This window comes from Homo sapiens, chromosome 3 (genome assembly GCF_000001405.40).
Source record: "Homo sapiens chromosome 3, GRCh38.p14 Primary Assembly".
Taxonomy (NCBI): domain Eukaryota; kingdom Metazoa; phylum Chordata; class Mammalia; order Primates; family Hominidae; genus Homo; species Homo sapiens.
The window spans coordinates 106881857-106902113 of record NC_000003.12 but is presented as its reverse complement, the minus strand read 5'-3'; the positions used below and the strand labels follow the sequence as shown (position 1 = coordinate 106902113).

Sequence of the window (20257 nt, the reverse complement as noted above, 5' to 3'; positions counted from 1 at the left end):
TGACCTTAGTATAGGATGTGGTGTATTAGGTAGCACAGAGAATTTTGGATTCTCAGGGGTAGGTTCGATTCCTATAATTCTACAAATAAGAGGACTTAAACCTCTATAATTTAGTCTATCAAAGTAACTCTTTTGTCCGACATATTTCTTATGTTCGAGGTGGGGTACTAGATATTAGGACAGGCATAGAGATGTGTCATCTGCAAAGCACTAGTGTGAATGCTAAGACATTTTTTCATAGAAGATGTACAAGTTGATCGTAACAGAATCAAGGGTATGACTCTTGAAGTCATAAAAATAAGGTTGTTAAAAGGAGGGTTTTGGTGATGAAAATTATAGTATAGAGTTCTGGTGTATGAATATCATATAATGCTCCTAGGAAGATAATAGTGCTTAGGGCATTTATTATAATAATATTTATATATGCCACATAAAGAATAGGGCAAATGGACCTGCAGCATATTCCACATTAAAGCCTGGAACGAATTCTGATTCCCCTTCTGTCAAGTCAGATGGGACTCTGTTAGTTTCTGCTAGCATGGAAATAAATCATATGGTTAGAGGTCACGATGGTAGGAGTAGTCAGAATAAACTCTTGGGATGAGTATAGATAAATTGAATGAACCACTTATTAACAGAACTGATAGGAGGATAATAGCTAGGGTAACTTCATATGAAATTGTTTGGGCTGCTGCTCATAGTGTACCAATTAGTGCATATTTCGAATTGGATGCTCATCTTGGTCATAAGATAGAGTAGACAGCTAGGCTTGATGTGGCTAGTATAAATAAGAGACCTATGTTAAGATTAGTTAGAGGATATGGTATGGGGAAAGGGATTCATATAAGGAGGGGATTAGATAAGGCTAGGGTTGGAGTAATAACGTATAGGGGAATAGTGGATGCTAAAAGTCACAGCGTTCTTTAATACAAAGTTTTATTGCATCTGCAAAGGGCTGAAGTAGTCCCTACAGTGTGGGGTCTTTTGCGTATTTGTACATAGCCTAAGATCTTTCGTTCAATGAGCATAAGGAATGCTATGGCAATGGCCCTAAGTCTCCTAATTCGAGCAGAACTGGGTCAAACAGGAACTCTACCAGGACATTATCAGATTTATAATGTTATCGTCACTGCTGACACATTTGTTATAATTTTCTTCATATTAATACCAATCATAAATGAGGGCTTTGGCAACTGGTTAGTTCCCCTGAGAATCGGTGCACCAAACATGGCATTCCCTCGAATAAATAATATAATATATCTTAGGTGCTTTACTATTAGAATTGTTGTTAGAATTGTTGGTGGTTGGGTGAATAGTTGAATATGATGAGGTGGAAATTGTAATTGATTTTAATAATATAGAAAATTGGGTAATTTTTGAGGGTGAGGAAGTAGGGTTATTACGTGAGGATTCTATAGGTGTAGCTCCCTTGTATAGTTATGGATATTGATCGGTGGTAGTTGCTGGTTGATCTCTGTTTGTTAGTATGTATGTTGCAATTGAGATTACTCTGGGGAATAGATTAAATAATTAAGAATAGAGTTAGGAGAGATGGAATAAGGAGGGAGAAAAAATAGAGTTTAATTAGGCCTTTCGGGGTAGATTCAATGGTGGAGGCTAAAATTTGGACTTGAGCAGTGTTTTTGGCATTGATTTTTCTAATCAAATTAAGTCTAGTAGAATGGAGGCTAGATTTTGACTTGCATGTAGATTTGAGTGTGGGGGGCAGTTGCACAATGTATTGTGATTGGATAAAACCCTAATATGTTTGAGAAATTAAATGTTTGTGATGGATGCTTAAGTTTAAGGTTTTTAGTCATGAGGTTAAGTTCTGTTACTAGTGAAATGCCTAAAATACTTACACCAAGGGCTGCAAGTTTTAGGTGGAGTGGCATAGTTATTTGGGGAATTGATATTAGAGTAATGTTGCTGGAGATGAAGAATCTGGCGAAAATGCTACCAATTGTCAGGTGTTAGATTGCATTAATTAGGAGGGGATTGTTTTTGTTGATGATAATTGAAGTTGTGAAGTGAAGTTGTCCTAACAGTGTGAAAAAAATTATTTGGGTGCTGTAGACAGCTATTAGGGAGGTGTCAATGAGAGTAATTAAAAGGACTCATGCGTTGGTACACGACGTTTGCAGTTTTGATAATGAGATCTTTGGAGTAGAAACCTATGAGGAAAGGTATTCCTGTGAGTGCAAGGCTGCCAATAATAAGTGAGGAAGAAAAAAAAATAAGTGAGGAAGAGGTGAAGGGTAGGGCCTTAAATAACCCACCTGTTTTTCGGATATCCTGTTCATCACTGAAGTTAATGGATAACAGATCCAGAGCATATGAACAATTTGGCTTTGAAGAAAGCATGGGTACAAATGTTAAGAAATGCTTAGTGAGGTTGATTAATACCAAATGTGAATGTTATAAAGCCTAATTGACTTGAGGTGGATAATGCTACAATTTTTTAAACATCATTTTGTGTCAGGGCACAGATGGCTATAAATAGTGTAGTGATAGCTCCTAGGCATAATCTGAGGGTTTGAATGATTAAGTTGTTTCTGTTAAAGGGTGAAATTGGATAAGTAGGAAAACCCCTGCTACAACTATTGTGCTAGAATGGAGCAGAACTGTGACTGGTGTTGGGCCTTCTATAGCTGATGGAAGTCAAGGATGGAGGCCAAATTGGGCTGATTTTCCAGCCCCTGCCAGAAGACCAATTATTGGAAAGATACTGGGGTTGGGATTTAAAATAAACATTTGTTGAAATTCTCATGTGTTGGAGAATAGGAGGACTCATGCTATTGCTAAACCAAAGCCAGTGTCACCGATGCGGTTATATAGGATTGCCCGAAAGGCTGCTATAGTAGCATCTGTTCGGCCATATCATCAGCTGATTAATAGGAAAGATATAAACCATACGGCTTCTCACCCGATAAAAAGTTGGAAAAGGTTTTTGGCAGTAACCAGAATTAATATGGTAATGAGAAAAATGAGTAAGTACTTGAAAAATTGGTTCACGTTGGGATCTGAGTGTATCTACCGCATTTAAAATTCTCTGATGGATCATGTAATGAATAGTGCCACTGGAATGGATATTATAGAGAAGTAGTCCAGTTTGAAGTTGAGTGAGAGTTTTAGGGTTTGGATTGTTATCCAGTGCCAGTTAGAGAAGACAGCTTTTTGGCCTGTGTATATAAATATGGTTGCAAGGATGAGGCTAATGATAAAGGCACATGGGCTTAGTCAAACTTCCGTTTATCACTTAATTTTTATCACTGCTGTTTCCAGTGGGGGTGTGTTTGACCTAGGTGTTGTGAGCTGCACTTATGCATACTTGATACCTGCTCCTTTTGATTTGGATAATCTAGAGGGCATTCTCACTGGGGCGGGGATGCTTGCATGTATAATCTTACTAAGAACTAACAAAAAGGCCAGGACCAAACCTATGTGTTTATGGAGTTACGTGAAATCTTCTGAGCATTTTCAGTGCCTTTCTTTAGTAGTTAAGCTACATTAACTAGGCGAAGTACACTGGAGCTCAGGGAGGGGGTCTGAAGTGTTTGGTAAGTATTAAGTCAAAACCTTGTCAGGATGTAAATGGAAAGTGAGCATTTTAGCCCAGAAAGTCTAGTTTTTGATTTTTTTAATTGACCATTTCTAAAATTGCACTAATTGAAGGTTTAGCTAAAAAGCCATTTGTAGTTGAAGCTATAATTAGTTTAAAATTATAGCATCTAGAGTATACTCTCTTTAAAGTGGGTAGGGGTCTGAAGTGTTATGTAGGTATCAGGGCAAAACCTTGTCAGGATATAAATAGTAATCATTTTAGCCCAGAAAATACTGGGATTTTTATATTATATTTCCCACCCCTAATTGTTCAGTCAATGACTGACTGACCTCTATTCAACAGTGATTAATCCAACTTGTATTGAAACAAATAGTATCAATGCATAATATCAAAGGACAAACCTGATCCCTTATGTTAATTTCCCTGATTCTCTTTATTGGTTCAACTAATCTTCTTGGACTTCTATCCCATTCATTTACACCAACTACTCAACTATCAATAAACTTAGAAATAGCAATTCCTTTGTGAGCTGGAGTAGTAGTCACTGCTTCCGCTTTAAGACTAAAGCTTCTGTAGCCTACTTCCTACCACAAGCACACTGATTCCACTTATCCCTATATTGGTAATCATTGAAACTTAGCCTATTCATCCAACCAATAGCACTAGCTGTACGATTAACAGCCAACAATACAGCTGGCCACCTACTAATGCATTTAATTGGAGGAGCTACACTAGTATTATCAACTATTAGCCTACCGACAGCTTCAATTACATTTATTATTCTAGTTTTACTAACCATCCTCAAGTTTGCCATAGCCCTCATTCATACCTATGTCTTTACACTCCTAGTGAGCCTCTACTTACACAGCAACACATAATGACCCTCCAAACTCAGGCTTACCACATAGTTAACCCTAGCCCCCTGACCACTAACAGGAGTCCTTTCAGCACTACTTATAACTTCTGGCCTAGCCATATGATTTCATTTTAACTCAACTGCCTTCCTGACTTTGGGCTACTAACCAATACATTAACAATATATCAATGATGATGCGATATTATCCGAGAAGGCCCATTCCAAGGCCACCATACATCAACTGTTCAAAAAGGCCTTTCATACAGAAAAATCTTACTCATTATTTCAGAGGTGTTCTTTTTCCGCCAGCTTCTTCTGAGCATTCTATCACTCTAGCCCAGCCCCCACTCCAGAATTAGGAGGATGCTGGCCTCCAACAAGCATCTCTCCCCCTAGCCTCTTAGAAGTCCCTTTTCTTAATACATCTGTTTTACTTGCATCCGGGGTTTCAATTACTTGGGCTCACCAAAGCTTGATAGAAGGTAATCAAAAATACATACTTCAGGCACTGTGTATCACAATTGCCCTAGGCATTTACTTTACACCTCTACAAGCCTCAGAATATTTTGAAGTCCCTTTCACTATCTCTGCTGGAGTTTACAGCTCAACATTCTTCATAGCCACAGGTTTTCACGGGCTTCACGTTATTATTGGATCAACATTTCTTACTGTCTGCCTACTCCGCCAACTAAAATTTCAGTATACATCTAACTGCCATTGTGGATTTGAAGCCTCAGTCTGATACTGGCACTTTGTAGATGTAATATGACTATTCCTATATGTTTCTATCTATTAACAAGGATCATACTCTTAGTATAACAGTACAATTGACTTCCAATCAATTAGCTTCAGCATTACCTGAAAAAGAGTTATTAATCTAACATTAGCCTTAGCAACTGACACCTTACTAACACTCTTACTAGTAACAATTGCATTTTGACTCCAACAACTTAATATCTACACAGAAAAATCCAGCCCCTATGAATGCGGCTTTGACCTGATAGGCTCTGCCTGCCTCTCCTTTTCCATAAAGTGCTTCCTAGTAGCCATCACATTTCTCCTCTTTGATCTAGAAATCACCCTACTACTACTCCCACCATGAGCTTTTCAGACAACTGACCTAAAATTAATAATTAGTACAGCTCTCATATTAATTATCATTTTAATCTTCAGTCTAGCCTACAAATGAACCCAAAAAGGATTAGAATGAATTGAGTTGGTGAATAGTTTAAGTCAAAATAAATGATTTCGATTCTTTAGATTATGATATATCATAATTACCAAATGCCTTCTATTTATATTAATATTATATTAGCTTTTATTATGTCTTTAGTCGGGGTAATAGTCTATCAATCCCACCTGATATTGTCCCTACTATGCCTAGAAGGCATAATACTTTCTTTCTACCTGTCTATCTATGTATCTATGTACCTATCTATCATCTATCTATCATGTATCTATTTATCTATCTATCTATCTATCTATCTATCTATCTATCTATCTATCATCTAGCATCTATCTATCTATCTATCTTTTGAGATGGAGTGCAGTGGCCCGATCTCAGCTCACTGCAACCTCCGCCTCCCGGGTTCAAGTAATTCTCCTGACTCAGCCTCCTGAGTAGCTGGGATTACAGGCGCACACCACCATGCCTGGCAAGTTTTTGTATTTTCAATAGGGATGGGGTTTCATCATGTTGGCCAGGCTGGTCTCGAACTCCTGACCTCAAGTGATTTACCTGCCTTGGCCTCCCAAAGTGCTGGGATTGCAGCATGAGCCATGGCGCCCAGCCAATACTATCAATATTTATTATAAGTACTCTCGTAATTTTAAATATACATTTCATGCTGGCATCCATAATACCTATTATCCTCTTAGTTTTTGCAGCCTGCGAAGCTGCTGTAGGTTTAGCCTTACTAGTTACAGTCTCCAACACCTTTGGCCTAGATTATGTACAAACCTAAATTTACTCCAATGCTAAAAATTATTATCCCAACAATTATATTACTCCCAATAATGTGATGCTCTAAGAACTCTACAATCTGAATTAATACAGCTTCCACAGTTTACTTATCTGTCTCATCAGCCTGCTATTCTTCAACCAATTTAATGATAACTCTTCAACTTCTCATTAACTTTTTTTTGTTCTGATCCACTGTCATCACCCCTTCTAATCCTAACAGCCTGGCTACTATCCCTTATAATTTTAGCAAGCCAATATAATCTATCCAAAGAATCGTTCCCAGGAAAAAAAATTTTATATATCAGTACTAGCAGGGATACAGATATTTTTAATTATAACATTCACGGCCACAGAACTAATCATATTTTGTATTATCTGTGAAGCCACACTAGCTCCCACCCTAATTATTATTACTGGTTGAGGTAATCAAGCAGAATGCCTGAAAGCAGGCTTGTACTTCTTATCTTATACACTGGTAGGATCCTTACCTTTACTTGTAGCACTTATCTATACACAAAATGCCTCAGGCTCACTAAATATGTTAATCACCATATATACTACTCAAGAAATAACAACTCTGGATCTAACAACCTTCTATGACTAGCATGCATCGTGGCATTTATGGTAAAAATGCCTCTCTACAGACTCCACCTATGACTTGCTAAAGCCCACATAGAAGCCCCCATTGCCGGCTCAATGGTACTTGCAGCCGTATTCCTAAAATTAGGCAGCTACGGAATGATACAGGTCACTCTAATCCTTAACCCCTTGACAGAATTCACAGCCTACCCTTCCTTATAATATCCCTATGAGAATAATTATGACAAGCTCCATTTATCTACGCCAAACTGATCTAAAATCGCTCATTGCTTACTCCCCTGTAAACTACATGGCGCTTGTTATTGTGGCTGTTCTCATTCAAACCCCTGAAGCTTTATAGGTGCAACCACCCCTATAATTGCCCACGGACTAACTTTGTCCCTACTATTCCGCCTAGCAAACTTGAACTATGAATGAGTTCAGAGCCAAACTATACTACTTACTCAAGGCCTTCAGACACTACTCCCACTAATGGCCATGTGATGACTTTTAGCTAGCCTCACCAACCTTGCCCTACCCCCTACCATTAATTTAGTAGCGGAACTCTTCATATCCATAGCCTTATTCTCTTGATCCAATCTCACCATCATTCTTATGGGACTTAACATGTTAATCACAGCCCTCTACTTTCTGTACATACTAATCACCACACAATGAGGGGTCTTCACGTATCACATCAACAATATTAAACCCTCTTTCATTGTGAGAAAAATACCCTAATATTAATACACCTAGCACTGCTTCTCCTATTATCCTTAAACCCCCAAATCATTTGGGGATGTACATACTGTAGTTATAGTTTAATTAAACATTAGATTGTGGATCTAATAATAGAAGTCTACAGCTTCTTACCTACCAAGAAAGTATGCAAGAACTGCTAACTCATGCCCCCATATTTAACAATATGGCTTTCTCAACTTTTAAAGGATAGGAGTTATCTATTGATCTTAGGAACCAAAAACATTGGTTCAACTCCAAGTAAAGGTAATAAAATATATTCTCCTCCCTTACTTTAACCTCCCTAGTACCACTCTTGTCATAGAGGTTTGTTGTACAGATTATTACATCACCCAGGTATTCAGCCCAGTACCCAACAGTTATCTTTTCTGCTTTTCTCCCTTATCCTACCCTCCTCCCTCAAGTAGACTCCAGTGTCTGTTGTTTCTTTCTTTTTCTTCATGAGTTCTCATCATTTAGATCCCAGTTATAAGTGAGAACATTCAGTATTTGATTTACTGTTTCTGGATTAGTTTGCTAAGGATAATAGCCTTCAGCTCCATCCATGTTTCTGCAAAAGACATGATCTCATTCTTTTTTATGGCTGCATAGTATTCCACAGTGTATATGTACCACACGTTTTAATTTAATCTGTCGTTGATGGCCATTTAGGTTGATTCCATATCTTTGCTTTGTGAATAGTGCTGCAATGAACATTTGCGTGCATGTGTCTTTATGGTAGAATGATTTATATTCCTCTGGATATATACTCAGTAATGGTATTGTTGAGTCAAATGGTAATTCTGCTTTTGGCTCTTTGAGGAATTGCCATACTGCTTTCCACAATGGTTGAACTAATTTACACTCCCACCAACAGTGTATAAGTGTTCCCTTTTCTACCCAATCTCACCAGCATCTGTTATTTTTTGATCTTTTAGTAGTTACCATCCTGACTGTTGTGAGATGGTATCTCATTGAGGTTTTGATGTGCATTTCTCTAATGGTCAGTGATATTGAGCTTTTCTTCATATGCTTGTTTGCATCTATGTCTTCTTCTGAAAACTGTCTTCATGTCCTTTGCCCACTTTTTAGTGGCGTTGTCTGTTTTTCTCTTGTAAACTTAAGTTTCTTATAGATGCTGGATATTAGAGTTTTGTCAGATGCATAGTTTGCAAAATTTTTCCCCCATTCTGTAGGTTTTCTGTTTACTCTGTTGTTAGTTTCTTTTGCTGTGCAGAAGCTCTTAAGTTTAATTAGATCCCATTTATCAATTTTTGCTTTGGTTGTGCTTGCTTTGGTATCTTTGTCATGAAATCTTTGCTTGTTCCTATGTCCCGCATGGTATTCTCTAGGTTGTCTTCCAGGATTTTTATGGTTTTTGGGTTTTACATTTAAGTATTTAATCCATCTGGAGTTGATTTTTGTATATGGTATAAGGAAGGGGTCCAGTTCCAATCTTCTGTATATGGTTGGCCAATTATTCAAGCACCATTTATTGAATAGAAAGTCTTTTTTCCCATTGCTTATTTTTGTCAGGATTGTTGAAGATCAGATGGTCATAGGTGTGTGGCATTATTTCTGGGCTCTCTTCTGTTCCATTGGTTTACATGTCTGTTTTTGTACCAATATCATGCTGTTTTGGTTACCGTAGCCCTGTACCATACTTTGAAGCTGGGTAATGTGATGCCTTCAGCTTTGTTCTTTTTGCTTAGGATTGCCTTGGCTATTTACTCTTGTTTTTGTTTCTATGTAAATTAAAATTCTTTTTTTTCTAGTTCTGTGAAGAGTGTTGTTGATAGTTTGATACAAAGAGCATTGAATTTATAAATTGCTTTGGGCAGTATGGCCATTTTAACAATATTGATTGTTCCTGTCCATGAGCATGAAATGTTTTTCTATTTGTGTCATTTCTGATTTCTTTCAGCAATGTTTTTTAATTCTTATTGTAGAGATATTTTGCCTCCCTGGTTTGCTGTATTCCTAGGCATATTAGTTTATTCTCACATTGCTGATAAAGACATACCCAAGACAGGGTAATTTATAAAGAAAAAGAGGTATAATAGACTCACAATTGCATGTGGCTGGGGACGACTCACAGTCATGGTGGAAGGCAAGGAGGAGCAAGTCACATCTTACTCCTCTTTATAAACCTTTAAGATCTTGTCAGACTTACTGTCATGAGAACAGCATGGGAAAGACCCACCCCCATGATTCAATTACCTCCCACTGTGCCCCTCCCATGACACGTGAAAATTGTGGGAGCTACAATTCAAGATGAGATTTGGGTGGCGACACAGCCAAACCATATCACTAGGTATTTTATTCTGTTTGTGACTATTGTGAATGAGATTACATTCTTAATTTGGCTGTCAGCTTGGACACTATTGGTGTATAGAAATGCTATCAATTTTTGTACGTTGATTTTGTAACCTGAAACTTTGCTGAAGTTGTTTATCAGATCAAGGAGTCTTTGGGCAGAGACTATGGGGTTTTCTAGTTATAAAATTATATCATCTGCAAACAAAGATAGTTTGACTTCCTTTCTTCCTATTAGGATGCCTTTGATTTCCTTCTCTTGCCTGATAGCTCTGGTGAGGTTTTCCAGCACTAGGTTGACTAGGAATAGTGACAGTGGTTATTCTTGTCTTGCTCCAATTCTCAAGAGGAATGGTTTGAGCTGTTTCCCATTCAGTATGATTTTGACTATGGGTTTGTCATAGGTGGCTTTTATTATTTTCAGGTATGTTCCTTTGATGCCTAATTTGTTGAGGGTTTTTAATACTAAGGAATGTTTAATTTTATCAAAAGACTTTTCTGTGTCCATTGAGATGATCATATGGTTTTTGTTTTAGTTCTCTTTATGTGATGAATAACATTATTAATTTGCATATGTTGAACCAACCTAGGATCCCAGAAATAAAACCTACTTGAATTTGGTGGATTAGCTTTTAGATGTGCTGATGGATTCACTTCGGTAGTATTTGTTGAGAATTCTTGTGTCTATGTTCATCAGGGATACTGGCCTGAAGTTTTCTTTTTTGTGTGTGTCTCTGCCAGGTTTTGGTATCAGAATGACATTGGTCTCACAGAATGAGTTAGAGAGGAGTCCCTCCTTGATGTTTTGGAATAGTTTCAGTAGAATTGATACCAGCTCTTCTATATATGTTGGTAGAATTCAGCTGTGCATCTGTCTGGTCCAGGGCTTTTTCTAGCTGGTAAGTTTCTTATTACTGATGCAATCTCAGAACTTGTTGGTATGTTCAGGGTTTCAATTTCTTCCTGGTTCAGTTGTGGGAGGTTGTATGTCTCCAGGAATTTACCCATTTCCTCTAAATTTTCTAGTTTGTGTGCATAGAAGTGTTTATAATATTCTCTGAGGGTTTTTTGTATTTCTGTGGGGTTGGTGGTAATGCCCCCTTTGTCATTTCTGATTGTGTTTATTTGGACCTTCTCTCTTTTTTCTTTATTAGCCTAGCTAGCAGCTGATCAATCTTATTTATGCTTTCAAAGATCCAATTTTTGGTGTTGTTGATTTTTTGTATGTTTTTTCTCATCTCCTTTTTATTCAGTTTAGTCCTGACTTTGGTTACTTCTTTTCCTTGCTAGCTTAGAAGTTGCTTCGCTCTTGTTTTCTAGTTCCACTAGTATGATGTTAGTTTGTTAACTTTAGATCTTTCTAACTTTTTGATGTGGGTGTTTAGTAAAAATTTTTAGTATCAACTTTCCTCTTAACACTGCTTTAGCTGCATCCCAGAGATTCTGGTATGTTGTATCTTTGTTCTCATTAGTTTCAAATAATTTCTTGATTTCTGCTTTAATTTTATTTTTTATCCCAAAGTCATTCAAGAACAGATTGTTTAATTTCCAAACTGGAGGCCCTGCCTGGTGAAGAGCAGGGACTCGGGGTCTCACAGGAAAAGAGGGACTGGACTCTTCACTAAATGGTGGCTGTGGCATGCTAGAGTTACCAGCAAAGCAATCAGGGCCTTTGTTTTTTTCCCCAGGCCAAGGGCAGCAAAGGTGGGACCACTGCAGTGGCAATGAAAGAAAGCCTGTGGGTCATCTCTGGGACTTTCTCCCGAGAGAAAAGCAGAGCTGCCACTGACTGAAGTTATCAGGCTGAGCTGCACCATTTTGCATTCCCACCAGGAATGAATGATCGTTCCTTTTGCTCTACATCCTTGTCAGCTTTTGGTGGTGTCAGCATTTGAATTTTGGCCATTCTAATAGATGTGTAGTAGTATCTCACTGTTATTTTAATTTGCATCCCCCGATGACATATGATATAGAGTATATCTTTATTTGCTTATTTTCCATGTTCTTTGGTGAGGCAAAATGCTAAGTTTTTGGCTCATTTTTAAGCTGGGGTATTTTCTTATTGTTGAATTTTAAGTGTTTTTGTATACTTTGAATAGCATTCGTTTATCAGATATCTCTTTTGTAAATATTGTATCCCAGTCTGTGGCTTGACTTCTCATTCTTACAATATTGTACTTTGCATTCTTACAATATTGTACTTTGCAGAAACTTTTAATTTTAATGAAGTCTAGCTTACCAATTATTTCTTTCATGGATTGTCTCTTTGGTGCTGTATCTAAAAAGTCTTTGCCATAACTAAGGTCATACAGATTTTCTCCCCCAGGCTGGAGTGTAGTGGCGCAATCTCTGCTCGCTGCAAGCTCCGCCTCCCAGGTTCACGCCATTCTCCTGCCTCAGCCTCCTGAGTAGCTGGGACTACAGGCGCCAGCTGTGTAGCCACTGTGCCCAGCTAATTTTTTGTATTTTTAGCAGAGACGGGGTTTCACCGTGTTAGCCAGGATGGTCTCGATCTCCTGACCTCGTGATCTGCCTGCCTCGGCCTCCCAAAGTGCTGGGATTACAGGTGTGAGCCACCGTGCCAGGCCTATGATCCACTTTTGAGTTAAATTTTGTTAAGGGTATAAGGTCTGTGTTTAGCCACTTTTCTTTTTTTTTTTTTTTTTTTTTTGGTGTCTAAGCACTTTTTTGTCCAGTGGTTCTAACACCATTTTTTGAAAGGAATGTATTTGCTCCATTGCATTGCCTTGGGCTCTTTCAAAGATCAGTTGACTATATTTATGTAATTCAATTTCTGGGTTCTCTATTTTGTTCCATCGAGATCTTGATTGATTTTTTTCCCTTTATTAATTAGTAGAGGATGGCAGCCAACACAATAGCCATACACTACACAAGGCAACATCTTCCTCAGGGGTTATTCTTCTTTTAAAGGAAGTAGTGCAGCCTTCCTGTTGGTTGCCTTCTCAATTACACTTTACTAGGTTCTGCCCTTTCTACAGTCTTTCTACTTAGTTAACGTAGTTCTCCTAGGCCACAATGCTTTTACCACATACAACATCTGTTTAACAGTGGTTATTTATTCAAGAGCTGTTATCTCTTTGACATAAGCTGGAAGGTAGGAGGCATTGGTGACTTTTCTCTGGGTATTTAGTATTAGATATGTCCTTGGTGGCCATATTTTCCACAGTGTTTACAAATTAGACAAATCAGGGTTTCTGGGTGGCTAGGAAGGTGAGAGTTGATGAATGTGAGAGAGAAATAAAACAAACTGGCAGAAGGAAGGAGAGGTTAAAGAAATCCTGTTCATTTCAAAGGCTTGTCTGATTCTCTGGCCGTGTATTCTATGAAACATCCTTGAATCCTGGGTTTCTTAAGTTGGCTGGAGTGGGCTGCTGTAATTTGAGGTTAAGAAAAGTCCAAATTAATATACTATCCCTCCAGTGAGCTGCAAATATTATTCATATATACTATAAATAAACTGGGTGATAAGTTGGTTTTAATTAATGATATTCCAAGTTTGTTCCAATGAGATTGGCATATCTAGTCATGAAACCAAATATTAAAAGGGTTCCATACTATGCTTTTCGTCTCTTTAAAATTGGCATTCCACTAAAGGAGAAACACCTGATGCCTGAGGCCTTGACGCAGACACAGTTGAAAGGCTTTGGGGAAATAAACTTAGAGCACAGCTTGACAAAGTCTTATAGCTTTCACTGGGAAAGACAGAAAGTAGTAGACTCAAAAGAAATCAGTCAAGAGTGCCAGGAGCTGAAGGGGAATTGAAGACAGGTCTAACTTTGAAAATGAATGAAATATTAGAAGGAAGCAAGAGTAGGAGAATCCACAGAGATGGAATCCACACAGTTTGTACTGCATCTTATTCATTTAGGATCAAACTGTACCCCCTGGTCCCTGAAATAGGGAAATGTGCTAAAAGTGTCATTTTCTGAATGCTGAGCAAGATTTATGGGCTTGTTATGAATTAAGTGACAAGATTAACTCGTAGTCTGAACATCACAAAAGCAACATGATACAAGTGAGACTAAAGGTTTTAAAGATTGTAAAATATTACAAAAGAGATCACACTAGGTTACTGAAAATATAGATTTGCCAAATCTCAATTCCTGAGGGAATTATCACGCATTTGAGTTCTCAGAAAAGCATACTTTCTTGAGAACTGTTATAAACAAACATACAAATATTACAAACTAAATGGCTCTTGTTTTTGTCTGAACACTTTCAGACTACACTTAAAGAAAAACAAGTATGGCCAGCCGGGCGCGGTGGCTCACGCCTGTAATCCTAGCACTTGGGGAGGCAGAGGCAGGCGGATCACCTGAGTTCAGGAGTTTGAGACCATCCTGGCTAACATGGTGAAACCCCGTCTCTACTAAAAATACAAAAAATTAGCCGGGCTTGGTGGTGGGCGCTGTAGTCCCAGCTACTCGGGAGGCTGAGGCAGGAGAATGGGGTGAACCCGGGAGGCGGAGCTTGCAGTGAGCCGAGATGGCGCCACTGCATGCACTCCAGCCTGGGAGACAGAGCTAGACTCCGTCTCAAAAAAACAAAAAAAAAAAAAGAAAAACAAGCATGGCCAAGGCCCCATTTAAGCTTTCTTTTCCATAACCCCTCACTCCTTCATTTTCTATGCCATATTTTAGGCCAATATCATTTTTATCTTAGATTATTTATAGTAAAAATGACAGAAAACATCTATTGGGTGCCAGTGGTTCTTGCAACAACACGATCATGTAGGTGACTATCAATATCCCCATTGAGGAAACAGGCCAGAGAACTTAAGTATTGCCCAAGGTCACACAGCTAAGTGGCAGAAACCTTTGGCCCCGTCCTCATAAGCGCTACACATTACTGCCCCTCCAAGTGGTATTTCAGGCAACCTTTGTCCTTGGTGCCTTGTTGGGAAACTCTCCCAACCTACAAGGCAGTTTGAAAGAGGAGGTGGTGTGGTTTGTATCAGATAATCTTCCTGTGCACACAAGAGGCTCAACCAAAAAGGTCTACCTCTAAAACAACACTGATCAACTCATATGCTGAAAATGTGCAATTAGACATATGTGTGCATGTGTCTTTATAGCAGCATGATTTATAGTCCTTTGGGTATATACCCAGTAATGGGATGGCTGGGTCAAATGGTATTTCTAGTTCTAGATCCCTGAGGAATTGCCACACTGACTTCCACAATGGTTGAACTAGTTTACACTCGACCAACAGTGTAAAAGTGTTCCTATTTCTCCACATCCTCTCCAGCACCTGTTGTTTCCTGACTTTTTAATGATTGCCATTCTAACTGGTGTGAGATGGTATCTCATTGTGGTTTTGATTTGCATTTCTCTGATGGCCAGTGATGGTGAGCATTTTTTCACGTGTTTTTTGACTGCATAAATGTCTTCTTTTGAGAAGTGTCTGTTCATGTCTTTTGCCCACTTTTTGATGGGGTTGTTTGTTTATTTATTGTAAATTTGTTTGAGTTCATTGTAGATTCTGGATATTAGGCCTTTGTCAGATGAGTAGGTTATGAAAATTTTCTCCCATTTTGTAGGTTGCCTGTTCACTCTGATGGTAGTTTCTTTTGCTGTGCAGAAGCTTTTTAGTTTAATTAGACCTCATTTTTCAATTTTGGCTTTTGTTGCCATTGCTTTTGGTGTTTTAGACATGAAGTCCTTGCCCATGCCTATGTCCTGAATGGTAATGCCTAGGTTTTCTTCTAGGGTTTTTATGGTTTTAGGTCTAACGTTTAAGTCTTTAATCCATCTTGAATTAATTTTTGTATAAGGTGTAAGGAAGGGATCCAGTTTCAGCTTTCTACATATGACTAGCCAGTTTTCCCAGCACCATTTATTAAATAGGGAATCCTTTCCCCATTGCTTGTTTTTCTCAGGTTTGTCAAAGATCAGGTATTTGTAGATATGCGGCGTTATTTCTGAGGGCTCTGTTCTGTTCCATTGATCTATATCTCTGTTTTGGTACCAGTACCATGCTGTTTTGGTTACTGTAGCCTTGTAGTATAGTTTGAAGTCAGGTAGCGTGATGCCTCCAGCTTTGTTCTGAGTAGGCCACTTAGCCAAAAGGAACTACCATAAATGATCTTAGGGAACTGTAGGTTTGCAGCACTGCTATGCCAAAGCCATATGCAAAATGCAGTTAGGGAAGGGCAGAAACAAGGTAAACAGAGAAATTCACTCTGAACCAAACACTCTCTTGGCATCAAAATTTTTACTTGACTTTCTGAAGAATTTCAGCAATTTACATTTTCTGCAACTGTTTGAAAGTGCCTCCTTCCCCTACCTTCATAAATGCCAGGTTGCCCGTTTTTGCTGTTGTTGTTTATGCCAATTGTTTGGACAAAAATGGCATTTTTTAAATGTCCACATTTGAGATTAATGGTGAGTTGAATATCTTTTTATGTATCATTATCTCTTCTTGACTACTTATATTTCTTGTTTTGTTAAATATCTGTTTACATATTTGCCAATGTTTCTATTGGTTTGCTCTTTCAGGTCCCCTCCATTATACACAAGAGTTCCTGGTTTATTAACATTGTAACTCTTTATCTATCATACGTTTTGCAATATTTTCCTATTTGTTTATACTGGATCCATAATTGATTTATTTGGCTCTTGTTTTGTGTCTTATTATATCACTACCTGGATGCTCTTTCCAAAATCTAAATCTAATCATGAGTCTTCTCTATTTTATAAATGTTCAATAACTCTACTACATCTACCAATTAAATTGGAAATGCCATATGTTGGCATAGCAATCTCTTTATTGCTTGATAGTCACCTCTCTTGACCACTTCATTCTTTGTATAACTCTAATAATAGGTATTTTAAAAAGCACTTTATTGAAACATTATTGACATCTAAAAAGCTGTACATATTTTATGTGTAAAAGTTGGAGTTTAGAGATAAGTATATACCTACAAAACCACCACCACAATCAATGCCACCAGCCTGTCCATCACCTCCAAAACTTTCCTCCTGCTCTCATTATTTATTATTATGATTAATATTTTTGACAAGAACATTTAACATAGGATCTACCCTTTTATCAAATTGGCAAGTGCACAATACAGTATTGTCAATTATAGGTACAATGCTGTAATCTCTAGGAATTACAAATCTTGTATAACCAAAACTTTGTACACTTAGACTAATTAATACATTCCCATTCCTTTCCCTTCAGCCCCTGGCAGCCACCATTTCACTCTCTGCTTCTATGAATTTGACTATTTTAGATTCATTATGTAAGGGAGATATTGTAATATTTGCCTTTCTGTGTCTGGCTTATTTCATCTAGCATAATGTCCCTCAGGTTCATTCATGTTGTCACAAATTGTAGGGTTTCCTTAATTTTTTTAGGCGGAATAATATTCCATTGCATGCTTATATCATGTTTTCTTTATTCAGTTGTCCATCAGTATACATTTAGATTGCTTCCATGTCTTGGATATTGTGAATAATGCTGGAGATGCAGACATCACTTTGAGATCCTCATTTCAATTCCTTTGGATATATACTCAGTAGTGGAATTACTGGATCATATGGTAGTTCTACTTTTCATTTTTTTAGGAATTTCTGTATGTTTTTCATAGTAGCCACACCGATTTACATTCCCACCAACAGTGTACAAGGATTCCCTTTTCTCTTCATCCTCACCAATGTTTGTCTTTGTGTGTGTGTGTATGATAAACAGTTTTTCTAACAGATGTGAGGTGATATCTCATGGTAGTTTTTATTTGCATTTCCCTGATGATTAGTGATGTTGAGCACCTTCTCATATACCTATTGGCTATTTGTATGTCTTTGGAAAAATGTCTAGCCAGTTCTTTTGCTAATTTTTTAATCAGATTTTTTTTCTTCTGAGTTGTTTGGATATTAACTGCTTATTGGGTATATGGTTTGCAAATATTTTTCTTTCATTTTATAGCTTACCTTTTCATTATGTTGATTTTTTTTCTGTGTGGAAGATTTCTAGTTTGAATAATTCCACTTGTGTATCTTGTATTTATTGATTGTGTTTTATTGTCATACCCAAAAATTCATTGCCAAGGTCAATGTTGAAAAATTTCCCTCTTTATTTTCTTTTACAAATTTCACAGTTTCAGGTCTTAACAGTTATCATTTTGAGTTAATTTTTGTATATGGGTTGAAGTAAGGGTCCAATTTTATTATATTGGATGTGGATATCCAGCTTTTCCAACATCACTTATTGAAGAAAATGTTCTCTCCCCATTGTGTGTTCTCGTCACCTTTGTGGAAGATCAGTTAACCGTAATTATGTGGATTTATTTCTGAGCTCTCTTTATATTTCTTCCATTGGTCTATGTCTGTTTTTATGCCAGTGCCATGCTGTTTTGATTAGTATACCTTTGTAGTAGCTTTAAGATTGCTTTGTCAGGCCAGGCGCAGTGGCTCACGCCTGTAATCCCAGCACTTTGGGAGGCTGAGGCAGGCAGATCACAAGGTCAGGAGTTTGAGACCAGCCTGGCCAATATGGTGAAACCCCATTTCTACTAAAAATACAAAAATTAGTTGGGCATATTGGCATGCACCTGTAGTCCCAGCTACTTGGGAGGCTGAGGCAGAAGAATTGCTTTAACCCGGGAGGCAGAGGTTGCAGTGAGCCAAGATCGCACCACTGCACTCTAGCCTGAGCAACAGAGCGAGACTCCATCTCAAAAAAGAGAAAAAAAAGATTGCTTCGGCTATTTGAGGTCTTTTGTGGTTCCACATGAATTTTAGAATTTTTTTTTCTAATTCTGTAAAAAATTCCATTGGAATTTCATAGGGATTTCATTGAATATGTAGATATCTTTCGGTATATGAACATTTTAACAATATTAATTTTTTCAACTCATGAGCATGGGATATATTTCATTTATTTTGCATCTTCAATTTCTTTCATCAATATTTTATAGTTTTCTGTATGCAGTTCTTTTATCTCTTTTATTAAGATTATTTCATATTATTTTATTTTTGATGCCATTTTAAATGGGATGGTTTTCTTGATTTTTTTGATACATTTTTGTTACTGTATAGAAACACTACTGATTTTTATATGTTGATTTTGTACCCTGCAACTTTGCTGAATTCATTATTTAGTTCTAACAGATTTTCTTGTGAGTCTCTAGGATTTTTTATTTAAAAATATGTTATCTGTAGATATAGTTTTGTTTCTTCATTTTTATTTGGATACCTTTTATTTCTTCTTCTTGTCTAATTGTTCTGGTTAGGACTTCCAGTACTATTTTGAGTAGAATTGTAGAATTGGCAAGAGTGATCATCCTTGCCTTGTTCTAGAACTTAGAAGAAAGCTTTCAGTTTTCTACCACTGAGTATGATGTTCTCTGTGGGCTTTCCATATATGGCCTTTATTGTGTTGAGGAAAATTCCTTTTATACCTAATTTGTTTGAGTTTTTTTTAATCCTGAAAGGATGTTAAGTATTTTCAAACGCTTTTTCTGCATGTGTTCAGATGATCATGTGATTTTTATCCTGCATTCTGTTAATGTGTTTTATCACATTGATTGATTTACATATGTTGAATCATTCTTGCATCTGAGTAACCAATCCCATTTGGTCAAGGTGTATAATGCTGAATTTGGTTTGCTAATATTTTGCAAATTTACTTTGTTTGTATTTTATTCAGGACGTTTGTTCCCATGTTCATCAGAGATACTGGCCTGTAGTTTTCTTTTCTTGTGATGCCTTTGCCTGGCATTGCTATCAGGGTGAGTCTGGCTTCATAAAAGCCATTTAGAAGTGCTCTCTCTCATTTTTTGAGCATTTAAGAGGGATCGGTATTAATTCTTCATTAAACTTTTGGTGGAATTCAGCTGTGAAGCCATCTAGCTGTAGGCTTTTCTTTGTTAGCAGGGTTTTGGTTACTGGTTTAATCCTTATTTGTTATTGGTCTGCTCAAGCTTTCTATGTGACTCAGTCATGGAAGATTATATGTTTCTAGAAATAGGTCTGTTTCTTCTAGTTGTTGAATTTGTTGGTGTATAATTGTTCATAATAGTCCCTTATGATCTTTTTTATTTCTATGGCAATGGTTGTAATATCTCCTCTTCTAGTTCTGATTTTATTTAATTTTCTCTCTTTTTTTCTTAATTGATTTAACTAAGGGTTTATCAATTTTGTTTGTGTTCTTAAAAACCAGCTTTTAATTTTATCGATCTTTTCTACTGTTTTTCTACCCTTGATTTCATTTATTT

General features: G+C 37.3%; 10 pseudogenes; 8 read left to right on the top strand and 2 right to left on the bottom strand.

The window, feature by feature from the left end:
- On the top strand, nt 12-83 carry NMTRQ-TTG4-1 (nuclear-encoded mitochondrial tRNA-Gln (TTG) 4-1; annotated as a pseudogene).
- Nucleotides 152-1046, bottom strand: MTND1P16 (MT-ND1 pseudogene 16; annotated as a pseudogene).
- On the top strand, nt 1033-1260 carry MTCO1P35 (MT-CO1 pseudogene 35; annotated as a pseudogene).
- On the top strand, nt 1259-1521 carry MTND6P6 (MT-ND6 pseudogene 6; annotated as a pseudogene).
- MTND5P16 (MT-ND5 pseudogene 16) lies at nt 1529-3225 on the bottom strand (annotated as a pseudogene).
- On the top strand, nt 3846-4443 carry MTATP6P22 (MT-ATP6 pseudogene 22; annotated as a pseudogene).
- On the top strand, nt 4443-5223 carry MTCO3P35 (MT-CO3 pseudogene 35; annotated as a pseudogene).
- Nucleotides 5302-5637, top strand: MTND3P6 (MT-ND3 pseudogene 6; annotated as a pseudogene).
- Nucleotides 5706-6385, top strand: MTND4LP3 (MT-ND4L pseudogene 3; annotated as a pseudogene).
- Nucleotides 6396-7763, top strand: MTND4P16 (MT-ND4 pseudogene 16; annotated as a pseudogene).